Source organism: Homo sapiens, chromosome 6 (assembly GCF_000001405.40).
Source record: "Homo sapiens chromosome 6, GRCh38.p14 Primary Assembly".
Taxonomy (NCBI): domain Eukaryota; kingdom Metazoa; phylum Chordata; class Mammalia; order Primates; family Hominidae; genus Homo; species Homo sapiens.
In genome coordinates, this window is record NC_000006.12 from 63,709,854 (window position 1) to 63,732,817 (window position 22,964).

Below are 22,964 nucleotides of genomic sequence, written 5' to 3' on the forward strand. Positions count from 1 at the left end.
AAGATACTGCGAAATGGCTCTATCACAATAATATTTCTCCTTTTCCTTTTTCTCTCTACATTTTCTTTTCTTTTTTTAACTTATAGAATATTACTACAGAGGAAAATTTAATCATTAGAAGAAATTGTTTTTCCCTCCACGGGATGTGATAGTACCTAGTATATTAACAGTCATTCGATAAATAAATCTTGAATGAATAAATGTTACTTTTTTGCCTCTTTTTCAGAAGTCTCTAGCTTTTCTTTGGAATGATCCAAAATGGATAATCTTAAGCTGAAAAGAATATTTTGTTCCAGTATAGATTTTTAGAATTTAAATTGATACAGTGTTAAAATACAAATAAACTTTAAAGCACTAATAAAAATGAGAAGTATTACTCTTGGGCATTTTGAGAATCACTCTTGAATCCACACATATATTACTGCCCAACACTTTATAGTATGTTCCAATTTAACAGATTTAAACACTCTGTAATAGTTGTTACTAACATATGTATGGTGATTTTTACTCTAAAAGAGGGCAGTTTAGATGACACACATTTTATAAGAGAGTCATATTTCAGCTCATTCACATGTTTTCCTTAGGAGCTTGTATCAGTTTTAGGCTTTGCAGCAAATCTGGCTCTCCCATTTCGGCCATATACCATCATGAAAAAAAACATTGTTGTTGAACACTACCAAATTAATAACAAATTAGGACTGTCTTTTCTATCTGAAACAAAACCTAGAGGCAAGCAAGAAAATTCCTAAGCCAAATTACTTTACAAAATTTACGGTCTATATGTATTTAAGGTCTCTTCATCCAGCCCTTTTTATTTCTAAATTCAGTGCCTAGTAACTGGATTATTAGTAGATTTGTCTGTTTGTGTATATAAATGTATGGTAGGGTGGAAGTGTTGGGTGCTTTTAGTTCCCAGTGGTTCAAGAACATAAGCAGCCCTTTGTGGAGGTTACAGCATTGGAAATCAGGATATAGTGTAGATATTAGAAGACTTGGGTTTCAGTATCATCTCTGCCACTGACAAGTTGTATCTGTCACCTTCAAAAAAGTCATTAATCACCTTTGGACTCCATTTCTTATGTTTCCGTAAGAAATGTAAGCTATCAGATAAATCCATCAATGGATCAGTAAAGATCTTTTCTTAAGAGTTACTTGCTTTTAATATTCTCTTCTGTATTTAAGTTGGTAAACCACGTTATTTGGTACCATCATTATAAAGTTCAATAGATTATTACTAATTGAGAAATAGTTTTAAAACCAAGCTACTCTTTAGCTTATTACCTTAAACAATTATTTGTTATTTTCTTGAACAGGAAATTTGTGTGGTTCGCTTCACACCAGTAACTGAAGAAGATCAAATTTCTTATACTTTGCTCTTTGCATACTTCAGTAGCAGAAAGCGCTATGGAGTAGCTGCTAACAACATGAAGCAGGTTAAAGATATGTACCTTATTCCTTTGGGTGCCACAGATAAAATTCCACACCCTCTTGTGCCTTTTGATGGACCTGGTAGGTATACGTTTTAATAATAGGATAAGAATGAAATAACATGGGAGGTGGGACCAGAGTGAAAAGACTGATTCTGCCTTCTTTCTCAGGATCCAGCCCTCTAGAGATGGCTTGACAGGGCCAGGCACCATTTAATATCCTGTAATAAGTTAGAGGCAGAATTTTACCTTTTTTTGCAATGATTGAAAATGATGAATTAATTGATGTTTTTGGTTTTATACAGGGCTTGAACTGCATAGACCTAATCTATTGTTGGGCTTAATTATTCGTCAGAAACTGAAGCGACAGCACAGTGCCTGTGCTAGTACTAGTCATATAGCTGAGACTCCTGAAAGTGCACCACCAATAGCATTGCCACCTGATAAAAAAAGTAAAATAGAAGTTTCTACAGAAGAAGCACCAGAGGAAGAAAATGACTTTTTTAATTCTTTTACAACTGTATTACACAAGCAGAGAAATAAACCTCAGCAGAATCTTCAGGAAGACCTTCCAACAGCAGTTGAACCTTTAATGGAAGTCACCAAACAGGAGCCACCAAAACCTTTAAGATTTCTTCCTGGCGTGTTGATTGGCTGGGAGAATCAACCTACTACTCTGGAATTAGCAAATAAACCTCTTCCTGTGGATGATATACTTCAAAGCCTTTTGGGCACCACTGGTCAAGTATATGACCAGGCCCAGTCAGTGATGGAACAAAACACTGTTAAAGAAATTCCATTTTTAAATGAGCAGACCAACTCAAAAATAGAGAAAACAGATAATGTGGAAGTAACTGATGGTGAAAACAAGGAGATAAAAGTTAAAGTAGATAATATTTCAGAATCTACAGATAAGTCAGCAGAAATAGAAACATCAGTAGTAGGGTCCTCTTCCATTTCTGCAGGGTCTTTGACGAGTCTTAGTCTCAGAGGTAAGCCACCAGATGTTTCTACAGAAGCATTTTTAACAAATTTATCAATTCAGTCAAAACAAGAGGAAACTGTGGAGAGTAAAGAGAAAACATTAAAAAGACAGCTTCAGGAAGATCAAGAGAATAATTTGCAAGATAACCAGACTTCAAATAGTTCTCCATGCAGATCTAATGTAGGAAAAGGAAACATAGATGGTAATGTGAGCTGTAGTGAAAACCTTGTTGCTAATACAGCGAGGTCTCCACAGTTTATCAACCTGAAAAGGGATCCTAGGCAAGCAGCAGGACGAAGTCAGCCTGTAACTACTTCAGAAAGCAAAGATGGAGATAGTTGCCGGAATGGAGAAAAACACATGCTGCCTGGCCTGTCACACAACAAGGAGCACTTAACAGAACAAATCAATGTAGAGGAAAAGTTGTGTTCTGCAGAGAAAAACTCGTGTGTTCAGCAGAGTGACAATTTAAAAGTTGCACAAAACTCACCATCAGTAGAAAACATACAGACTTCTCAAGCAGAACAAGCAAAACCCTTACAGGAGGATATTTTAATGCAAAATATTGAAACTGTGCACCCATTTCGAAGAGGATCAGCAGTAGCGACATCTCATTTTGAAGTTGGAAACACATGTCCATCAGAATTTCCTTCTAAAAGCATCACCTTTACTTCCAGAAGCACCAGCCCCAGAACAAGTACAAACTTTTCACCCATGAGGCCACAGCAGCCCAACCTTCAGCATCTCAAGTCTAGCCCACCTGGATTTCCATTTCCAGGGCCTCCTAATTTTCCCCCACAAAGCATGTTTGGATTTCCACCACATTTGCCACCTCCATTACTTCCCCCTCCAGGCTTTGGCTTTGCTCAAAATCCCATGGTTCCCTGGCCACCTGTTGTTCATCTCCCAGGTCAGCCACAGCGTATGATGGGTCCTCTCTCACAAGCATCAAGGTATATAGGCCCGCAGAATTTTTACCAGGTTAAAGACATTCGGAGGCCAGAAAGGCGCCATAGTGACCCTTGGGGTAGGCAAGACCAACAGCAACTGGATAGGCCATTTAATAGGGGTAAAGGGGACCGCCAGAGATTTTATAGTGATTCACACCATTTGAAAAGAGAGCGACATGAAAAGGAATGGGAGCAAGAATCTGAAAGGCATAGACGCAGAGACAGAAGCCAAGACAAGGACAGAGACAGAAAAAGCAGGGAGGAAGGGCACAAAGATAAAGAGAGGGCACGGTTATCACATGGTGATCGAGGAACAGATGGAAAAGCAAGCAGAGATAGTAGGAATGTAGACAAGAAGCCAGATAAACCTAAAAGTGAAGACTATGAGAAGGACAAAGAACGAGAGAAAAGTAAACACAGAGAAGGAGAAAAGGACAGGGATAGGTACCACAAAGATAGGGACCACACTGACAGAACTAAAAGCAAAAGGTAAAATTTGCAGGCTGCTTCAGGATTACATTTAAATAACTGTTAAAATGTTGTATCTTGTAAACAAAAGAAAGATTGCCTGCTAGGATTGTGCCATCTTTAAAATTTTTACTATTGGTCATTTGCAGAACAGTAAATTCTGTGTGTTGGTACAGAGTGCTCTGTACCAGTGCTCATCATCCCTTCTTCATACCAACGGTCCCTAGTTATAGGAATTTAATATTTTTAAAAGTTTTACATTGCTGTATATTCAAAGATTTGTTTTATTAATATGCAATAAAGGCTTAGAAATTTTAGTTTTATTCCTTAATTGGTAAATATGGTTAACTATGGAATATATTTACTTCCTCTAGTGAATGTCCTTTATATAATGACTAATTTGGGAGTAATGTGTGCTCTGTAAGTTTGTTTTAAATTGCACTGTTTTTAAAGAAACTGTAGAGGAGCAACAAAAATCCAAGCAACTTCATAATCAGATTATGCTAATCATTTAGTTGAGCAGTTTTTGACCAAGAATCAGAAGCCCAAGGGGTACATTTATTGCTTTAATCTGCACTCATTGAAGTCATTTATTACCATATACTACAGCTTTGTGGTAGGCCATTATTTTCATTTTCATTTTTGGCTCTTCAGAAACTTGAATACTTAAGCTTGTACATGATCTTGTGTTTTGCTATCCTTTTTACTGTAAAATGTAAATATTTTAAGGGATATTTTGATTCTAAATATGATAAAATAATTTCTCACCTATTTTGTGTGTGTGACTTGAAATTCAGTAGTAAAAGAATTTCTTCTTTAAAGCTTTAATTACCTTCAGACATTGATTTTTTGTTACTCAGCCAAGAACATATAGAAATAGCTATCTATGTCAGGCATTAGATGAGGGGAAAAACAATTTTTTTAAAATCTTAAATTGTAGGCTGAGATGAATTGTGTAGTTCTAAAGAGGCTAGAATTTAGAACTACCTGTGAAACACTGTGCAGCTATAGCCCACTTTATAGGTAAGTTTCTGAAAACTTTTACACCATCGCAATTTGGTACTCTGACTCACTAATCATTAAAATTAAAGACCGCAGAACTTGAAGAGAAATATGTTTTGAATCCTTTTATAAAATGTGCGATTTAGCCTAATTCGTAAAGTAACTGTACAGTTTCATATGCCAGTTTTACTTGAAAAAAAAATATGAAAACTATTGTTAATTCAAATCTAAATTTATTTAAACCCTAAAACACATGGTTTTGATGGCTGTAATTTAAAGTAAGAGCTATCAAATGATGCTGACAAAAGAAAAACCTTCCAAAATACAAAAGAAAGAGAACTCTATTATTTACTTACCTGTATTAATGAAGAAAAATATAAATAATTCCACAAAATTGATTGTTTTCCTAAAGAGCTTAAAGATTAGAGTTAAAAATTGGTTTTGAAACAGAATTATCCTTGTTATTTTTGCTGGAGAGAAGGGAGGAAATTCAGAACCAAACATTCTATTTAATTTGCAATGACTTGCAGTACTTTTTTCCCTATCCTTATCCTGTGAAACTTACTATCATAAGGTTCTAAAACAGAGAACTTGTGTTTAAATAAAGCCCGTTTAACTTTGGTCCACTTTTCTTTTGGAAATTAACTTGTTAGAAAACAAAGTTAGTTCCCAAACAAAACAAAATCTAAGTTATAATTTGCACCATTACAAAGAAATTGCTGTCAGGGTTTTACACATTTTAAAAACATTTCAATTTCAAATGTGTATATCGTCAATAAATCTACCTTTACTGATATATCTGGTTGAGGGAATATCAGACTCCAGATTTCTTTTGCAAGATGAAAGTAAAAACGAGTGGGTTAATGAATGAAAACAAGCTTTTAGGTCAGTTTTTGATCACCTCTTCGCTAATAGTTTTTTCTACATATCTAAAATTCTTTAATCAGTTCTGATCGAATCTTGATACATGTTTTTAAAATAGGCAAGGCCCATATAGCTTTCTATTAGGGATGAGCATCTCCAGGGGTTAGAGGCAGATCTTGTAACCGCTGATTGACTGAAACATTTTATGGAGAATAGGGAAGGTATGGTCATATTAGCTATTTGAGGTTTTCCTTTTGAGGAAAAAAAGGGAAAATGAGCAGATTTTTCAATGAGTAGTAGATCCAAAGCCATTCTCAGTCCCAGGTACAACCAGCCTTACACAAACTAGTGAATTACATGAATTTCATCTTTCAGTTTCTCCTGTTTTAAGAAAAAACCTGCTCTTTAAAAAAAGTTTTACACTTAAAAAAACTTAGAATCATCTTAAGACAGTGAATGCATACCTCTATTAGGTAAAAGTACCAGGGCATCTCAGTACCTGTAAAGTTCACCCCATGTAATCTTTGTGGCAATCAGAAAGCCTCCTTGAGCCCTCTGTAAGGCATCCCTGGTTTTGAGCACTTAGTATAAACATTGGTCAACTCAAAGGTGAAGGCTTAGAGCTGAGGAAACTGGAACTTAGAGAAGTTGGGAAACTTGGCCAGGTTACCCTGCTGTTGTCAGAGCAGGAATCCTACCTAGCTCAGTTCTTTTCTCTAAAGTCCATGTGCTTAGCAATTGTGCTCTGAGAATTGAGAATGAGAAAAAGAAGCAAAAGCCTGATGATCATATATACCTTTCATAGCCCTCTTTCTTTGCGTTCCACTGAACTGTCTGAAACCCTTCACTGAGCAACCCAACTGTTCAGTGTGAGTCAGAAGACACAACCAAAAACCTGTAAGTTCTTTTGTACGGATTTGCAAAATTTATATTAATCACAAATCCTAATTCTCTATTCCTGTTTTCTATTGCTGTTGTGATGAATTACTACAAGTGTAGTGGCTTAAAACCACACAAATTTATGATCTTACGGTTCTGTGGATCAGAAGTCTGTGCAGATCTCACTGGGTAAGATCAAGGTGTCAGCAAGATGCATTCATTTTCTGGAGACTTTCAGGGAGATTCCTTTTTTTTTGCGCCTTGGTTTCTAGCTTCTAGAGGGCACCCAATTTCCTTGGCTCATGATCCCTTCCTCCATATTTGAAGCCAGCAGTGTGGGACCCAGTCTTTCTCTAGTATCTCTGACCTTCCCTTCTGATTCCCTCTTCTACTACAAAGGACCCTTGTGATTACATTGACCCCACCCAGATAATCCAGGGTAATGTTCCTATTTTCAGGTCAGCTGATGAGCAACTTAAATTCCATCTGTGACCTTAATTCCCTATTCCCATGTAACCTAACATATTTACAGGTGTTCCAAGGATTGGGGTGTAGACATCTTTTGGGGGATTATCATCTACCAACAGCCCTTGACTTACTAATTGTAGTTTATTGTGGGTGAATTAATCTGAAATCTTTATAGAATAGCTAAGGCTATAGTAAATACATGTGAAAAATTTAAGAACAATAACACCAGCAATAGAGAAGAAAATGGAGTGAAAAGTGAAGCCACTCCATGTTAACGTGTGTGTTAACATAAAACTACCCGTCAACAGGTAACTTTACTCTGTTGTTCCTAAGTTTTTAATAGTAGCTGTGTTTTTAAAGTTTATGAACCAAACTTAAATGCATTATGAGAGCTTGATAATGAACCAGATCTTAGTAAAACAGTATTTTAACATTTGGATATACTAGTTGTACTATGCTTATCTCAGATCCCTGTAACACTGGTCAGGCTACAACTTACTAATGACTACAAAGAACTATATACACAATCAGGTTTATTTCTGTCTCTTAAAGCAAATTGCAAATAAAATTGGTTACTGCTTTTAAAAAGGTGCCAAACACCCTAATTCTTTGATTTCTGTTTCACAATTATAGTAATATGTAGAGCAAAAAAGTAGTGAGTTGAAAACAGATCAGTAGCAAGAAGTCCTTTGAAAACTTGAGTTCACCATGTCAAGTTTCATCTTATAGATAGATGCAGAGCAGAGTCATTGAGGGAAATAGCCTAAGCACTCAAAGGGCAGTGAATCCAATATAACTCTAAATATCCCCAAAATACTTTTTCTATGAAATAATTCAGTGTGTGCATGTCCATGTGTGTATATATACATATATGTTAGCCCAAGCTGTCTTTTAAAACTCCTTATTTTAAGATAATTTTGTCCTCAAAGTAATGATTTTTTTCAGGAACTTATTATTTATAAGGAGACCAAAAAGGTAAATATTACTGCACCTTATTTTTAAAAAATGTTCCGTTTACATTCAACACTTTGAGAAACCTCATACATTTATAGTAAAATCTTAAAGGTCTTTCTGTAGCCAATCATTTTTATTTCGTACTGGAAAAGCATTTCACATAGGAAATCGTCAACACCATTATCACCAGGATAGCAAAAATAGGAAGCGGGAATAGTGTTGATTTGTTACATGAACTTTCCAGGATTTTAAGGTGAAAAATATATTTTCAAGTCATTTTGATTTATAGGAGAAAAGGCAGCAGTTTTCAGTTCTTAAATATTGTCTGCCTATTCTGCAAGCACAATTTTCTGCGTTTGGAATTCAATGATGAGCAAAATGGGAAAGTTCCAATTTTGTGGAGATTACAGGTAGAAAAGTTATAAAATCTGAACGTAAAATTGCAACTGTGAAAAGCTTTAAGGCAGCAATTCTCAAACTTTTGTTTTCAAGACCCCTTACACTCTTAAAAATTGAGAATGTCAAAGCTTTTGTTTATATGGCTTATATCATTATTTAGCATACTAGAAAATCAAATGATAAACGTTAAAAATATTTGTTAATGATAATCTCATCTGTTAATGTAACATTTATATAAAAGTTAACTTCCAAACTAATTTAGTAAGAAGAGTGTCATTGTCTTGATTTTTGCATATTTCCAATTTCTGACTTAGGGCTGGATTCTCTTACCTGCCCTGCATTCAGTGTTTTGTAGTATGTCATTTTATTTGAAATATATGAAGAAAATCTGGCTATATGTGCATTTGTTTTTGGGAAAGGGAGGACTCTGGATTCCTTGAAAAGATCGCAGGGGTTCTTGGACCATAGTTTGGGAAGTGCTATTTTAAAGAAAAGGCACACTTTATTATGAGAGAACACATGGCCGAATATGATGGGAGTGTGGTTCAGGCAGTTTCTTCTTTTGTAAGCTTTCATAAAACAGCCTTCTTTTTATACATAAAGTATGTTTTCTGAAAGGTTAGATTTGATTACCAGCTGCCAAAAGGAATTTCTTCAGAGCATTTATCCTTATGATCTGAGTATCTCCAAAGTTAAATGCAATAGTATGGAGCAATACCAGTTTAGGTCACAGTTTTTCAGCAAAATTTGATGGAGTTGTTTTAAGTGGTTTCCGTTAAAAAAACAAACCTTTGAATCAATGTGTAAACATTCTGCAATTCTACCTTATATTCTACCCTCACACTTCCTAGTATTAATATGAACTGTATGTTTGGAAACATTTGTGCCCTGTCAAATGGTGTTGACATTCTTAACTCTGGTCGTAGGTCCTTTTAGGAATGTCTGTAGCCTTTTGATTGGAATGGAGTGGCTAAAATAAGACAAAAATCTCTAATAGTTTTTGAATGATAAATTACTACCTCGTTACTTTGTATAGACTGGAATCTGCACAGAAATGTGTATTCATCAGCCCTTATTTTTTGTAAATCTTTTCTCTAATTACTTGATGATTAATTTCATATTTTTCCTTTTGAACATTACATGCTGCTTATTACTAAGATTTTTTTCTCCAGATGACCTATTCTACCTGTTAGTTCACCAAGTCAGTCATATGTTGCCGGTTGCCAAGTGGCAAAATTATCACAGATATCAAACTCAGAAAATGTCAGGTAACAACAGCAGTAACTGCTTTCCAACCTGCAGTGGTGGACTGGGAGTGGGAAGTGAAAGTTCTGTTCACAATTGTATCAGTAACTGTTTTGGGAAAAATAATATTTTTTCAAGTTATGCTATCAACAGTACTAAATTGTTAGGATAGTAATTTTCCATGGCATTGTTTAGAACCTATTTTATGCCCAATTTTGAGATCTGTATAGACTTGAAAGCAGTTAAACACAAATTAAGGTTAATTTTTTAATTTGATCAGTTAATATGAGTACATGGTTTTAAAAAGTCAAATAGTTCTACAAGGTTCATAAGCAAAAAGCAACAGGCTTCTGCACTACTCTTCTCTCCAGAGGCAACCATTTTTAATTCTTTTAGATATTTAGGATATTTGCCTTCATGTTTGTGATATGCATATGCTATGTTTTAAGTTGCACATATTGTAATATCTATTGATGTCTTACTATAAAAGATAAGGATTTAGCTCTTACCAGCCTGTTCTCCTCTCCTCTCACCTTCTCTTTCTACATTCATGCAATAATTTTTGGTTTAAATCTATGTTCAAGTTTTACATTGTTGAATCATATAAATAAGTTGTAGCTAAGCCATGTAATACAATATGGTTACATTGCTTTGTATAATTTTTATTTTTCCTTTGATTAATAACTTGATTTTTTTCTTATTTGTACCTATCCCTAATTCATTCCCAACTGAATTTTAAACATTTTAAAGTTCAGCTTACACATTGATTTTTAAAATTGTGTTTACACGTTGATTTTAAAATGTAAGCATTAGGGATAGGTAAAAAGTGAATAAGCAAAGTGAATAAGCACATTCTGTGAATAAGCACTGAACTAATGGAGTTAAAACATGAATCAAAATATATACAGATAAATTAGATGTAGGAAAAACAATCAGAACCTTCAGTGACATTTTACAATCTTATCAAAAAGATATGTTAGCATTTAGACTATTTCAGGTAATATAGTAAACAGTTGATTCCCCGTAAGCAATGTATCAAAGAAATAACTATCAAAATAACTGCATTTATGTATAGTGTGTACTAAAATCTCTAGTGTTAACTTATGTAACCTCATTTTGTTCATCTCCATCATAAACATTGTATCCTTCTAATTTAATTAGTTCAATGTTTTTTGGTTCCTGAAAAAATACAACATCTTTAATTTTGCCAACAAAATTGGTTTTAAAAATCTCTTGAGTAACGATATTTACCTTTCTACCATATTCAAAGCCCCCTAGATAACAAATGCCATCATAGTTTAGAGCCACAAAGTTTTTATGTGGATCAATATCCTCGGAAAGAATTAGACTGTTATTTATGTAGGCCTTGATAAGAGTCTGATTTTGAATTACAACTACATGGTGCCATTTATTACAACAGAATGTGCCATTGTTATAGCTCATAGGCACAGAGATTCTTTCTCCCAAGTTAACTGCTATTTTCAAGGTCTGATTATGGAGACCAATTGCCAGAAAATCATTTTCTTCATTTTGAGCTATTCCCATCCATACAATTAGACCTTCTGTTTTAGTGGTACTGAAATTTAAGGATATAGTAGTGAACTGGAGGTTTCTCATTCTATAATTTGGATCAATGTATTTAATGTAAGAATTACCCATAAATTTTGCAGTTGAAAATGAAGTTTTGTTTTCACAATACCTTCCCACCCAACCCAAAGTACACAGGCAACTGTAAGAAAATGATTGGTCAGGTATACATAAAGATTGGTGGAGGCAAAGATTATTCAAACAGGACACAGACTGGTTACATGTATTTCCAGCCCAATCTGGCAAACATCTGCAAGAAAAAGTTGTGCCATTTACTGTACATTCACCTCCATTTCTGCATGTGTTGTACCCACAGGCTGTCCCATCACAGTCACCTACATTTGAGCCACCTTTTGCTCCAAATTCAGTTAATTGTAATTCTTGATTATTTATGATAACTTGTCGGATACAGCCTTGAAAACCTACAGGTTCATTTTCTATTGCCATGGGATTTACAAGATTTAAAGAAGATACTCCTCCAATATAGAAGTCTGTATTTGTGTCCAGAGAACTCATTTTAGTGGAGGCCTTTTCTGTTACATTTATCCCATCTAGATCCAGGTAGCCTTCTGCACCAACTCTTCCTGCTTTTATTATATGCCAAGTACTTCCGTTTATAGTTACTTTTTGGAGAGTTTCTAGAATGATAGTTCTGTCGCCAAGGTTGTAGCGAAGTTGAACGGAACTATTTACTAAAGAGATGCATAAAAAATCACCTGCAAGAAAGCAAACAGTAAGTTTGATTAGCAACAGTAAAAGTTTCCATTGAAAACTTTTGCTGTTTCTGGCCAAGTTGGATAAGTTTTAGTTATGGGGAAAAAAGTAACAGATCTTGAGCACAATTGTGTTAGTTTTGTTTCCACTCACAGAGCAAAATGCATATATCCTGTATTCTTTCATTTTGTTCAGCAATTGGCTACATAAATTTTCTCTAGTTGTGGACAGTTCTCATTGAATGAATATATTGTGGTAGTAAGTTAAAGTGAGGTTTTTCTTCAAATGAAAGCCTGTTCCTTATGATACCATTTAATGGCATTCACTATTGTCAGGCTAGGTACCTATAAATTCTCTGCACATTCCTGGCTCCTTTCCTGTCTCTCCAACCTTACCTGGAATGTTCTCTTTCCCCATCCTTACACTCTCTTTACTTCAACAACACTGACTTTGTTAATTAAGGATTTCATTCGCCTGTTTTCTAGGAACACTCCGCCACCCCATTCCACCTCAACTAGATAACTCCTACCTGTCCTTCAGGTTTCAGATCAAGTGTCACTTCCTCAGAGAAGTTTTCCTTGATTTCCCAGAGCTGGTCAGGAATTTTTTTCTGTCAGTGCCTTAATATCACTAGGTTTCCCTCCATTACAGTATATCTCATTTTATAATTATATAGTCGTGTGAAGAAATAGGAACAAATACCATCCAGCATCTGAAGTTGCAATGAGGCATTCAGAAGAAAAGTAAAGGCAATTCTGCAAGCTTGGAAAAAGCATGTTCTTCACTGTAAGATTGCTTGAAGAGGATAGCAAAATGACTTATTAATAATGAACCACGCAGAAGTCTCCACGAAACATTTTCTTCTCCCTCTGAAATTTCCCAACCTTTTTCTTTTCTCATCCAGGGATATTCGGCATTATGCTACACTACTTCTTCCTCCCTCCAGAGTGCCTATTTCCACACCTCCCTCCTGCAAATGGTGTTCTTTCCTTCTATTCTCCATTGTGGTCTATACCAAGCCATTCTAGACTGGTTGGAATGTTTGGCAGCTCTATAGTTCTTCACCTATCAAACTACGTTCTCTAGCTTTATTTTCCTCATAGGGAATTTTTAGTGAGTATACTATGTCGTTACATATGTGATATTTGGTTAACAGCTGCTTTATCCACTAGGTTGTAAGCTTTATGAGAACAGGGTCTGTGTTTGGTTTGGTCCAACAGTTGATTCCCAGCACCCAAAACGGTATCTGGCCCATAAATAGATGCTAAATAATTATTAAATAAAGAAATACGTTTGTAGGGTTGTGGGTTGAGATGACTCAGAATATTTCTCAAATAATAGTTTTAGCTTGAAAGCAAAAACTTTTTTCCTATAATGACATGAAAATTGTTTTAAAAATTCATAACAAAGAAACTCAGTTTATTTGCATAATTTCTAACATGTATAGCATTTTTAACTATAAGGAAAGAGAAGCAACATTATAAACTTTCAGATTAGGAAAGAAAAAATATACATTGGGTTATACCACCAAAAACTGGAACAAGTAAACATAATTGATAATTAAGTTCAAAAAATTTATAGCAACCTAAATATACTTTGTGGCCTGCAAGTGAACACAAACCAGTTATCTTTTGCAAGATTATGGAGGAAGCTTTTCTTGCTCCTTGTGTTGTAGAGTGTTCCTGTAGTAAACAATTTTATAGTGAAGAGCTACATTAGAATAAAAAATATCTAAGAAATGATTAGGAAAGCTGAAGCTGTGATCTATACTATCACTGGTCATGTTGCCAACCAGAAGAAAGAGCAAGGATAGCTTCTGCGAAGAAAGGATTATTTTAACTCAGCTAGTATGTTCTTACGAAAAATTGACAAAAAGTTTTCTTTCTGTGGCTATGGAAGCTAAAAGCTGTATTAGCTTAAAAAATCATAGACTTTTAAATTTCATTGCGTTAGGATATGATGCTCTAGTTATGGGTCATAAGTACACATTGGCATTATTATTATTATTATTATTATTATTATTATTATTATTATTATTATTTTGAGACCAGAGTCCTGCTCTGTCCCCCAAGCTGGAGTGCAATGGTGCAATCTCGGCTCACTGCAACCTCCATCTCCCGGGCTGCCTCAGTTTCCCGAGTATCTGGGACTACAGGCACTGGCCATCACGGCCGGCTAATTTTTGTATTTTGGGTAGAGCGAGGTTTTACCATGTTGGCCAGGCTGGTCTTGACCTCCTGACTTCAGGTGATCCGCCCACCTCGGCCTCCCAAAGTGGTGGGATTACAGGCATATGCCACTGCACCTGGCCTTGGATTCGCATTAGAGTAAGAAAATGTAATGAACAGTCCTTACAAGAAACAGAGCTCAAATAGGATAAAGATCATAAATGAATTCACTTTGGCTATTTAATGCCCACTCAACCATGGCTGAGGCTTCTCCCACCTTTGTTCTGCTATTGTTTCTACCTCATCATCTGCTATCCCACCGTGCTTTATTATAGATAAGAGAAACCTTGTAGGACCTAATATTTGTGAAGAGACTACAGAATCAGCATATCAGGGGAATTGTATATACATTTTTTTCTGTAGAAAAGGAAAGCAATGGTAATTTAAACTTATTTATATATTTTTAATATAGTTTAATTATTTGAGTATGTTTTAACTTCACATTGCAATGACTAGGCCTTTTTATACACGTTGGGAGGATTATAACTATATCAGATGAATTCAGGCTTTGATTAATTTGTGCTTAACAAAATGTTGATAATTTTTATATATCAAAAATCTTTTAAAGGTGTTAAATTTTTAGCAGAAATAGATGAAAAGGGACCAGAGTCTTATTTCTTTAAAATATCTTTCAAAAATCAGAGATCTGAGATCATCTAGTATAATTTTCAAGTTATCATTTTGTTTTAAATTTTACACTACTTGAGAGTACTCAAATTATTAACCTCTAAAGAGATACAGAAACCATGTTAATTTAGAATTTGGTTTTCAATATGTGAAAACCACATTGGCTGCTTTTATTAAAATTTTTGGATTTTAACTTTGTGTATTGTTTGGTTAGTTTTTACTAATAGGTCCTCTTAGCAGAGGATCAACTATGAAGACTTGGTTAATGTTTACATCAGGCACAGTTCTTAGAGAAGGTACAAAGTACAGGACTGTCAGCTGCATTTTCTGCAACCTTAAATAAATGAGAGACTTCAAATAAACTTGTTATATCACTTGATTACTAAAAAATAAGTTTATGCCTTTCATCTGATAATTGTTTTTGGTTAATCTAGGTTTAAGCATGTAGAACTTATATTTTTAATATTTAAAAATTTTCATGATTTTCTTATATAAGTGTCAAATGCAGCATCAATCGTGTGAAACTAATGAATCTCTGTAAGTAGTGTCTGATGGCATAAAAAAGGAAACTCTTGATTGTCTTGAACTACATGCATTGAATAACAGATGTAAGAAGATGTGCTCTTGCCCTCCTATGTGTATTAGTGTGTATGAGCTTTATATTTCATATACACAAACAAATATGTATCGTTGTACTGATTATAAAACTGTAGTACAATATTCCCAGCCAGTCACAATCCTGAATATACCTTGATTTTCTGCCCTCTTACATAGGTCCCACTTAACATTAATTTTGAGTTTTATTAGCAATATAACTGAAGCTGATTGTCTTTTAATGTCTCTTGATTTATAAATAGAAAATTTATGTTTGTATGTGGTTCTCCTATTTGACATTTTCACAGGGAGATTTAATCATGAATTTAAAACCAAATATCTCAGGAGAACAAATTTCTTCTGAGCTGTATTTTATAGCTCAATTGTACTTTTTCTCTTTGAAATTATTTTGAGGGTATTTCAGAAGTGCATTGAGGTGGAACCACTTTGGTCGAATTCCCTGATATTCTTATCATTTAGAAGCAAGTCAAGACACTTCTATAAGAACTACTTAGATTATGATCATTAGAGCACCATTTTTGCTAATGATGTGAAATTTAGCAAATGTAATTATTTCTCAATATCAAAATTGTTTCTCATTTTCTGAGAGACAAGATCAAAGAAAGTCAAATGTAAGATTTTAAAAATACTTAGCAATAGAGATGTAACTATATGTGCAGATGTCTTTGTCAGAATTTTGGAGAAATGAATGAAAATGGATATCAAGGGTAAAGTAAAACCTAAAAAATTAAATTTTAAAACACTAATTGGATACTTTATTTCATATTTTATGATAAATATGTACCTTTTAAAATCCTAAAATGTTTTTGTAAGCATTTCAGAACACAAATCCTGGGTTTACTGTTTGGATGACAGAACAACTTAAAGAGAATTTTTGGAGCTATAAATGTGGTTGAATCTACAGGAAATGTATCAGCCATGCCTTCCTTTTAAAAAATCTTTTATATGCATATTTTGTCTCCTTTGACATAGTACTATCGTGCATGGCTTTAATGTCTTTTTTGATGGTATTGTTTTTAAGTTGAGCATATACTATATTTAGATTTTGCAAACTTTAATTCCAACAAATCTGTTGCTATTTTATTAGAATATCTAGGGCTTCTAAATTCATACGCATACACTTGCAGTGACAATAGAACATAAAAGCATCAAATGTTTACATATTTAAATACTAGGTGACACAAACACTATCATACATTACTTAATAGACTATTAGGAATTCATTCTGCAAACAAACAGCCTGCCAATCTTACCTGATTGGGCTTTTAAGTGTTGTGCAGCATAAAATAGGATACCATCTGCAGCGAGAGGCTGAAACTGCAATTGAATATGTGTCTTTTTTCGAACATGAAAGGAAGCAAAAGACATCCAGGATAACTCATTGCTTCTGAAAGATGGATCACTTATGGATAAAGCTGAGGGAAGGAGAGAAAGAGAACTCTGGGAGTTATCTGCTGGATTAAAAAACATTGCTCATAAATACAATAAACTGCTTATGTAATTTTGTAATTTCAGGATTTATCGCCCAAGAGTTGCTTGTAGGTGAGTACATCAAACCTTGGTAACTTTGTGAGTCTGTTTTAATTCCACTAACTTTAGGGTTTTGTAACGAAGTCACTTACTGAAAAGCCTTCTCTTGCTTCTGGTAACTATGCCTTTTTGGCCGATACTATCTGACACAAATCTTCTGCTCTAGATTGCATTATATAGAGGGATCAGATGCATAGCTGAAATTCTTGGAAATGTCTTACATTTATAATGCTTTCAGAAAGTTCAAATGTTGGAAGATAGAGGACAACACTTTATAAGTTATTCTTCAGCCTCTATATTTCTGATTCAAATACAGAGTATAATTGAGTCAGGATATATTATAAGGCATAATATATTGATTTTTTTTTTTGCTTCTGTGTATAACTGACCCAATGGGAATTATGAGAGGGAGATGGAAAGTTCTGCACATTTGGCCAGTTTTTATCCCTATGAAATCTATATTCCTTCTTCTTTTCTTATAATGTTACAGTGCTTCTTAGAGTGCGCCCTGGTTCAGGACATAGCTTAGCCATTAATCTAGTTATTTAGTTTTCTCCCTGCTCTGTGGACCAGGCGTATGCTAACGGCTCCTTTTACTTTAGATTGAATAATTGGTAGGTGTTTATCCAAGAGGTGTTGGCATTTGCTGATTTTTTTTAAAAAACTGTACTCATTCATTTCGACTTATTGCTATTCAGAAGGGTAGAGGTTAGAATCACCTGATCGTGTTGCCAAGAATGCAAAGCGCTATACCTCATTCCTAGAGGGCCTGATTTATTAAAGCCAGGATGGAGGCTGGGCACGGTGGCTCACTCCTGTAATCCCAGCACTTTGGGAGGCTGAGGCTGGAGGATTGCTTGAGCTCAGGAGTTTGAGACCAGCCTGAGCAACATGGCGAAACACCATCTCTCAAAAAAAAAAAAAAAAAAAAAAAAAAAAAAAATATATATATATATGTTAGCTGGGCATGGTGGCGAATGCCTGTGGTCCCAGCTACTGGGGAGGCTGAAGTGGAAGGATCAGTTGAGCTTGGGAGGTGGAGGTGGGGGTGGAGGTGGGGGTGGAGGTTGCAGTAAGCTGAGATGGCACCACTGCACTCCAGCTTGGGCGACGGAGTGGGACCCTGTCGTAAAAAAAAAAAATGCTGGGATGGGATTCAGAAAGCATCCCCATTTTTAATAAACCCTCCTGGTGTTTCTGACATAGGGGTTCCTTGGACCACATTTTCATAAAATCTGGTTAAAATTTTAAGAACACAAGGGTGATTTAAAATGTGAGTGTCCTTTTGAAACTTTTTAAAATATTGCTAAATTAATACATGTTTATTATAAGACAAACAATATAAAAGTGTATAACATTTTTTAAGTGAAATTTCATTGTTTCTCCTCTCTTAATCCCAAGAATTACTGTTAAGTTTATTGTACATGTAGCCAGACTTTAAAAAAATACACATACAATTAACATATGCATATATCTAATACTTGATTTATTTTAAATAAAACCACATTTTATATAAACTATGCATAAGTAATTGCTTTTTTCCATCTATCTTTGTGAAACTGATATTAGCATATTTTGCCTATCACTTCTTTTAAATACATGGAAGGTATTTTTAAAAGTACACTTTATTTTTTCAGAGCCATTTTAGGTTCACTGCAAAACTGAGTGGAAAGTATTAGGGTTTCCATATACCCCTTGTCTCAACACATGCGCAGCCTTCTCCACTGTCAGTATTGCCCACTAGAGTACATTTGTTAAATGGATGACTCTATATTGACACATCATTATCACATAAGTTCATCATTTACATAGGATTCACTCTTCACGTACATTCTATGGATTTTGACAAATGCGTTGTGAAATTTATTTACCATTACAGTATCATACATAAAATCATACATCATATCCTCTTTGCTTGCCTATTTGACTCTCCCTCCACCCTGGCAACCACTGATCTTTTTTTACTGACTTCATGGTTTTGCCTTTTCCAGTATATCATATAGTTGGAATCATACAGTTTGAACACAAGTTTTCAGCTCCTTTGGACAAATACCAAGGAACACAATTGCTTGATCATATGGTAAGAGCATTTTTAGTTTTGTAAGAAACTGCCCAATTGTCTTCCAAAATTGTTGTACAATTTTGCATTACCAGTAATGAATGAGAGTTCCTATTGTTCCATATCCTTGCTGGCTTTAGGTGATAAGTGTTCGGGTTTTAGCTATTCGAAAAAGTATCTAGTGTTATCCAATTATTATAATTTGTAATTTCCTAATGATGTAAGATGTTGAGCATTTTCATATGCTCATTTGCCATCTGAATATCTTCTGTAGTGAGGTTTATGTTTAGATATTTTGCCCATTTTAAAAATTGAGTTAATTTTTGTGTTGAATTTTAAGAATTCCTTGTTTACTTTGGATAGCAGTTCTCTATCAGATATATATTTTGCAAATATTTTCTGCCAGTCTGTGGCTTGTATTCTCACTCTCTTTCATGTGTCTTTGACAGATTAGTTTTTTAATTTTAATGAAATCTAATTTATCAATTTTTTTCTTTCATGGATTCTGCCTTTGGTTGGCATCTAGAAACTCATCATCAAACTCAAAGTCATCTAGATTTTCTCTTATATTTTCTTCTAGGAGTTTTATAGTTTTTTATTTTACATTTAGGCCTTGAATCCATTTTGAGTTAAATTTTGTGAAAGATGTCATGTCTGTGTCTAGATTCTTTTTTTTTTTTCTTTTTGCATGTGGATGTCCATTTCTTCTAGCATCATTTGTCGAAAAGATTATCCTTTCCCCATTTTATTCTTCTTCCTCTTTTGTCAAAGAGCAGTTGACTCTATTTTGTGGCATAATATTTTATAAAATGGATATAGGATGATTTCCTTAGCAGTTCCCTCATTGAAGGGTAACTAGGCTATTTTCAGTTGTATTCCATTTCTCCTGGTTTCCCACCCTATCTCTCTAGCTTCATGTGCCCCTGTCTTATAAATTTTATAATTCCTCAGGGCTTTCCATAGCCCATCTCTCTTCTTTTCTTTCCATTAGTGACCTCTCATCTAATTCCATGACTTTAAGAAATACCTATACATATGATAACTCCTTGAAAATTTACGTCTATCTAAACCTCTTCTGTCAGCTTCAGTTTTATATAGTCATCTCTCTTATTGATTATTTGTTTTGGCTATATGAGTTATATCGAACTTAACATGTTTGAAGTTGTACTGCTGAAAGATACTCTTCCCTCAGCCTTCCTCAGATCAGCAAATGGTCCCACCACCCATTCAAAGCCCCATGTAGAAACTTGGTAATCAATTTGATTGTGCTGTTTCCAAAATTTCCTTTATGTTTCCCAATATAATGCATTAATAGATTATAGCTGCATGATATATTTCATATTTGCCCCATCTTTCTATTACCACTGCCACCATCCAAGTTGATGCCACTATCAACTCTTGATTAGACCATTGCAATGTACTCCTCATTGATCTTTTTACTTTTTGTCTTAATCTCTTCACATACATTTTATATATCTGCCAGAGAAACCTTTTGAAAACATCAATTCATTGCCCTCTTTAAACCCTTCAGGGATTTTACTTAGAATAAAATGCAGATTCTTTACCATAGCCTCTGGAGCTTTGCATGATTTGGCCTCCTGTTAAATTCCCAACATTCCCACCATTGTGCATATGGTGCACTGCATAACCCCAAGGGGAAGTCATCACATTGTAATTTATGTGAATAGTGTTCCCTGGAGATGTTCAATGAACAATCTACATGGAAATATGATGCTACTTTTCCTCCTTTTCTTTAAACTTCAGATGCACTGGCTTTTACTACTGGATTTGTCATAGTTTGATTATCTTAGATTAATTATACCACAATTTACTTAACCACTGCCATGTTGCCATGTTTTGAGTTGCTTGAAATTATTTTGTTATCGTCTGGGCATGGTGGCTCATGCCTGTAATCTCAGCACTTTGGGAGGGCAAGGTGGGCGGATCACGAGGTCAAGAGATCGAGACCAACCTGGCCAACATGATGAAACCCCGTCTCTACTAAAAATACAAAAAATTAGCTGGGCATGGTGGTGCGCACCTGTAGCCCCAGCTATTCAGGAGGCTGAGGCAGGAGGATCGCTTGAACTTGGGAGGCAGAGGTTGCAGTGAGTTGAGATCGCACCACTGCACTCTAGCCTGGTGACAGAGCAAGACTCCACTTCAAAAAAAATTATTTTGTTATTACTAATACTGATAAACATACTTAATTATATCTCGTTTTAAACATGTGAGAAATGGAATCGCAGTGTGATGGTCTGTGTTCATTTTTAGAGTTAATAGATGCCACCAAACTACACTCTAAAGTGTCCACAACCAGCAGAGGGTGACAGAATATCCTTATATATATCCTCAAGCACACTTGAGATTATTGAAATTTTAAGTTTTTAGCAGTCATAATGATTCCATTTTATTTTAATTTGCATTTTGCTGATTACAAGTGAAGTTGAGTTTCTCGTGTGAATATTGGCCATTTGTGTTTTTCTGTGACTTTTTTGTTTATGTCTGTTGTATGTTTTTAAATTCGATTTGCAATTTTTAAAATGTCTTCTGAGTCCTAATCCTTTCTTATATCTATTGCAAGTATATCCTCATATTTGTCATTTTTCTTTCAACTTTACTTATGGTATGCTATTCAAAATTTTTAAGTTTGTATTTACCAATATTCTTGGTCTTTTACAATTTACTTGTTTTGTCTTATTTAAAAACATTACTCAACACATAGTTATGTATAATCATCTATATTTTTCCCTCAGAGATTCTAGTTTTGCATTCTATATTTTTTTACCATAAATTTGTATGTTTTTAAATTTATAGGCCTTTAACTTATGTGGCTCATAGTATTGTGAATAGTTTGAGCTAGAAATCAAGCTTTATGTTATAAGCAGATAGCTAATATTTTTCAAAAATTAATAGTTTGTCCTCTTTGTTTGTATTTGATACACACTTTTAGCATCTTACAAGTAATATTTTCCCTCTCCCTCTTGAGGAAGTGTTTGTAGGAAATATTGAACAGAATGAAGAATGCAGATAAAAAACACCTATAAGGCTAGGTTTTGTGGTAGTACCTATTTGGCTTTGCTGCTTTCCTTTGGCTGGATTTAACATCTGGGAGGGGGGGTCTCAAGAATGGAAGAGTTCAGTCAACAACAGCATGATGAGAGGGTTCCCTGTTACCCAGTGGGGAGGAGCTCGAATTGTATTTCAAGAGGAAGCTTTTGCTGAAACTATTGCTGATACTGGGTCAGTGCAGGAGTTGAGAATTATCTGTGCACATGTGAGCGTATCATAAAACAGCTGACCTCCTAACTCGTGCTTTTCCAAAGAAGTGACACATGCTGAAATTATATGTAAATGTCACTGAACTAAACCTCAAAAGAAATGAATTTTATTAATAGCTCTGACATTGTATGTTTTGAGAAGATGCTCAATACATATTTTTTATATAACAAGAAAGGCTTCAGCTCTAATAGCTTATTATTTGATTAAGTATTCAGTAACAAAGTACTGGGGAGGATTGCATTTTCTAATAATAATACACATTCAAAATATTGGTGCAAGATGTCATTTCAAAAAGAGGTACATTTTTATTTAGCAGCTTCAAGGATAAACTAGAACAGGAAAAATGACTATGCTTAGTATGACTCAAATGTTTATTTTATAGATTAAAATAAAGTCAAGAGAAAAATTGAGGTGGACATACCAGTGATTAGTCATTGAGATACGCCCAATTATTTCTTGTATGTCTATCAACTCCTAAAAATGATCACTTTGTGGTGAAAATATTCCACATGTATTCTGAAACCGTAAATTAATATTTCCTGATTGGCTATCCATCTTTTAGATTTAGTGACCATTGGCAACCCTCCCTATTTCACCATAGGCAAAGGTTTGTGCCAACACGTTCACTAGGTTCACAGAAGTTGAAGTATTTTGGCTACCTGTCCGGGACATAACAGTAAA

The 22,964-nt window shown here is 34.7% G+C and overlaps 2 protein-coding genes across 11 annotated transcripts in view; one reads left to right on the plus strand and one right to left on the minus strand.

Moving 5' to 3' along the window:
* PHF3 (PHD finger protein 3) overlaps window positions 1-16,158 on the plus strand; it is a 90,210-nt gene extending 74,052 nt beyond the window's left edge. For all 9 annotated transcript variants that reach the window (NM_001290259.2, NM_001370348.2, NM_001370350.2 and 6 more), the window contains 2 exons: window positions 1,314-1,509; window positions 1,733-16,158. In NM_001290259.2, coding sequence (NP_001277188.1) covers window positions 1,314-1,509; window positions 1,733-3,855 — 2,319 coding nt within the window. In that variant the 3' untranslated portion in view covers window positions 3,856-16,158. The remainder of the gene's footprint in view (window positions 1-1,313; window positions 1,510-1,732) is intronic.
* The window catches only part of EYS (eyes shut homolog), a 1,987,247-nt gene continuing 1,974,409 nt past the window's right edge, over window positions 10,127-22,964 (minus strand). For both annotated transcript variants that reach the window (NM_001142800.2, NM_001292009.2), the window contains 2 exons: window positions 16,666-16,827; window positions 10,127-11,944 (listed from right to left, as the gene is read on the minus strand). In NM_001142800.2, coding sequence (NP_001136272.1) covers window positions 10,743-11,944; window positions 16,666-16,827 — 1,364 coding nt within the window. In that variant the 3' untranslated portion in view covers window positions 10,127-10,742. The remainder of the gene's footprint in view (window positions 11,945-16,665; window positions 16,828-22,964) is intronic.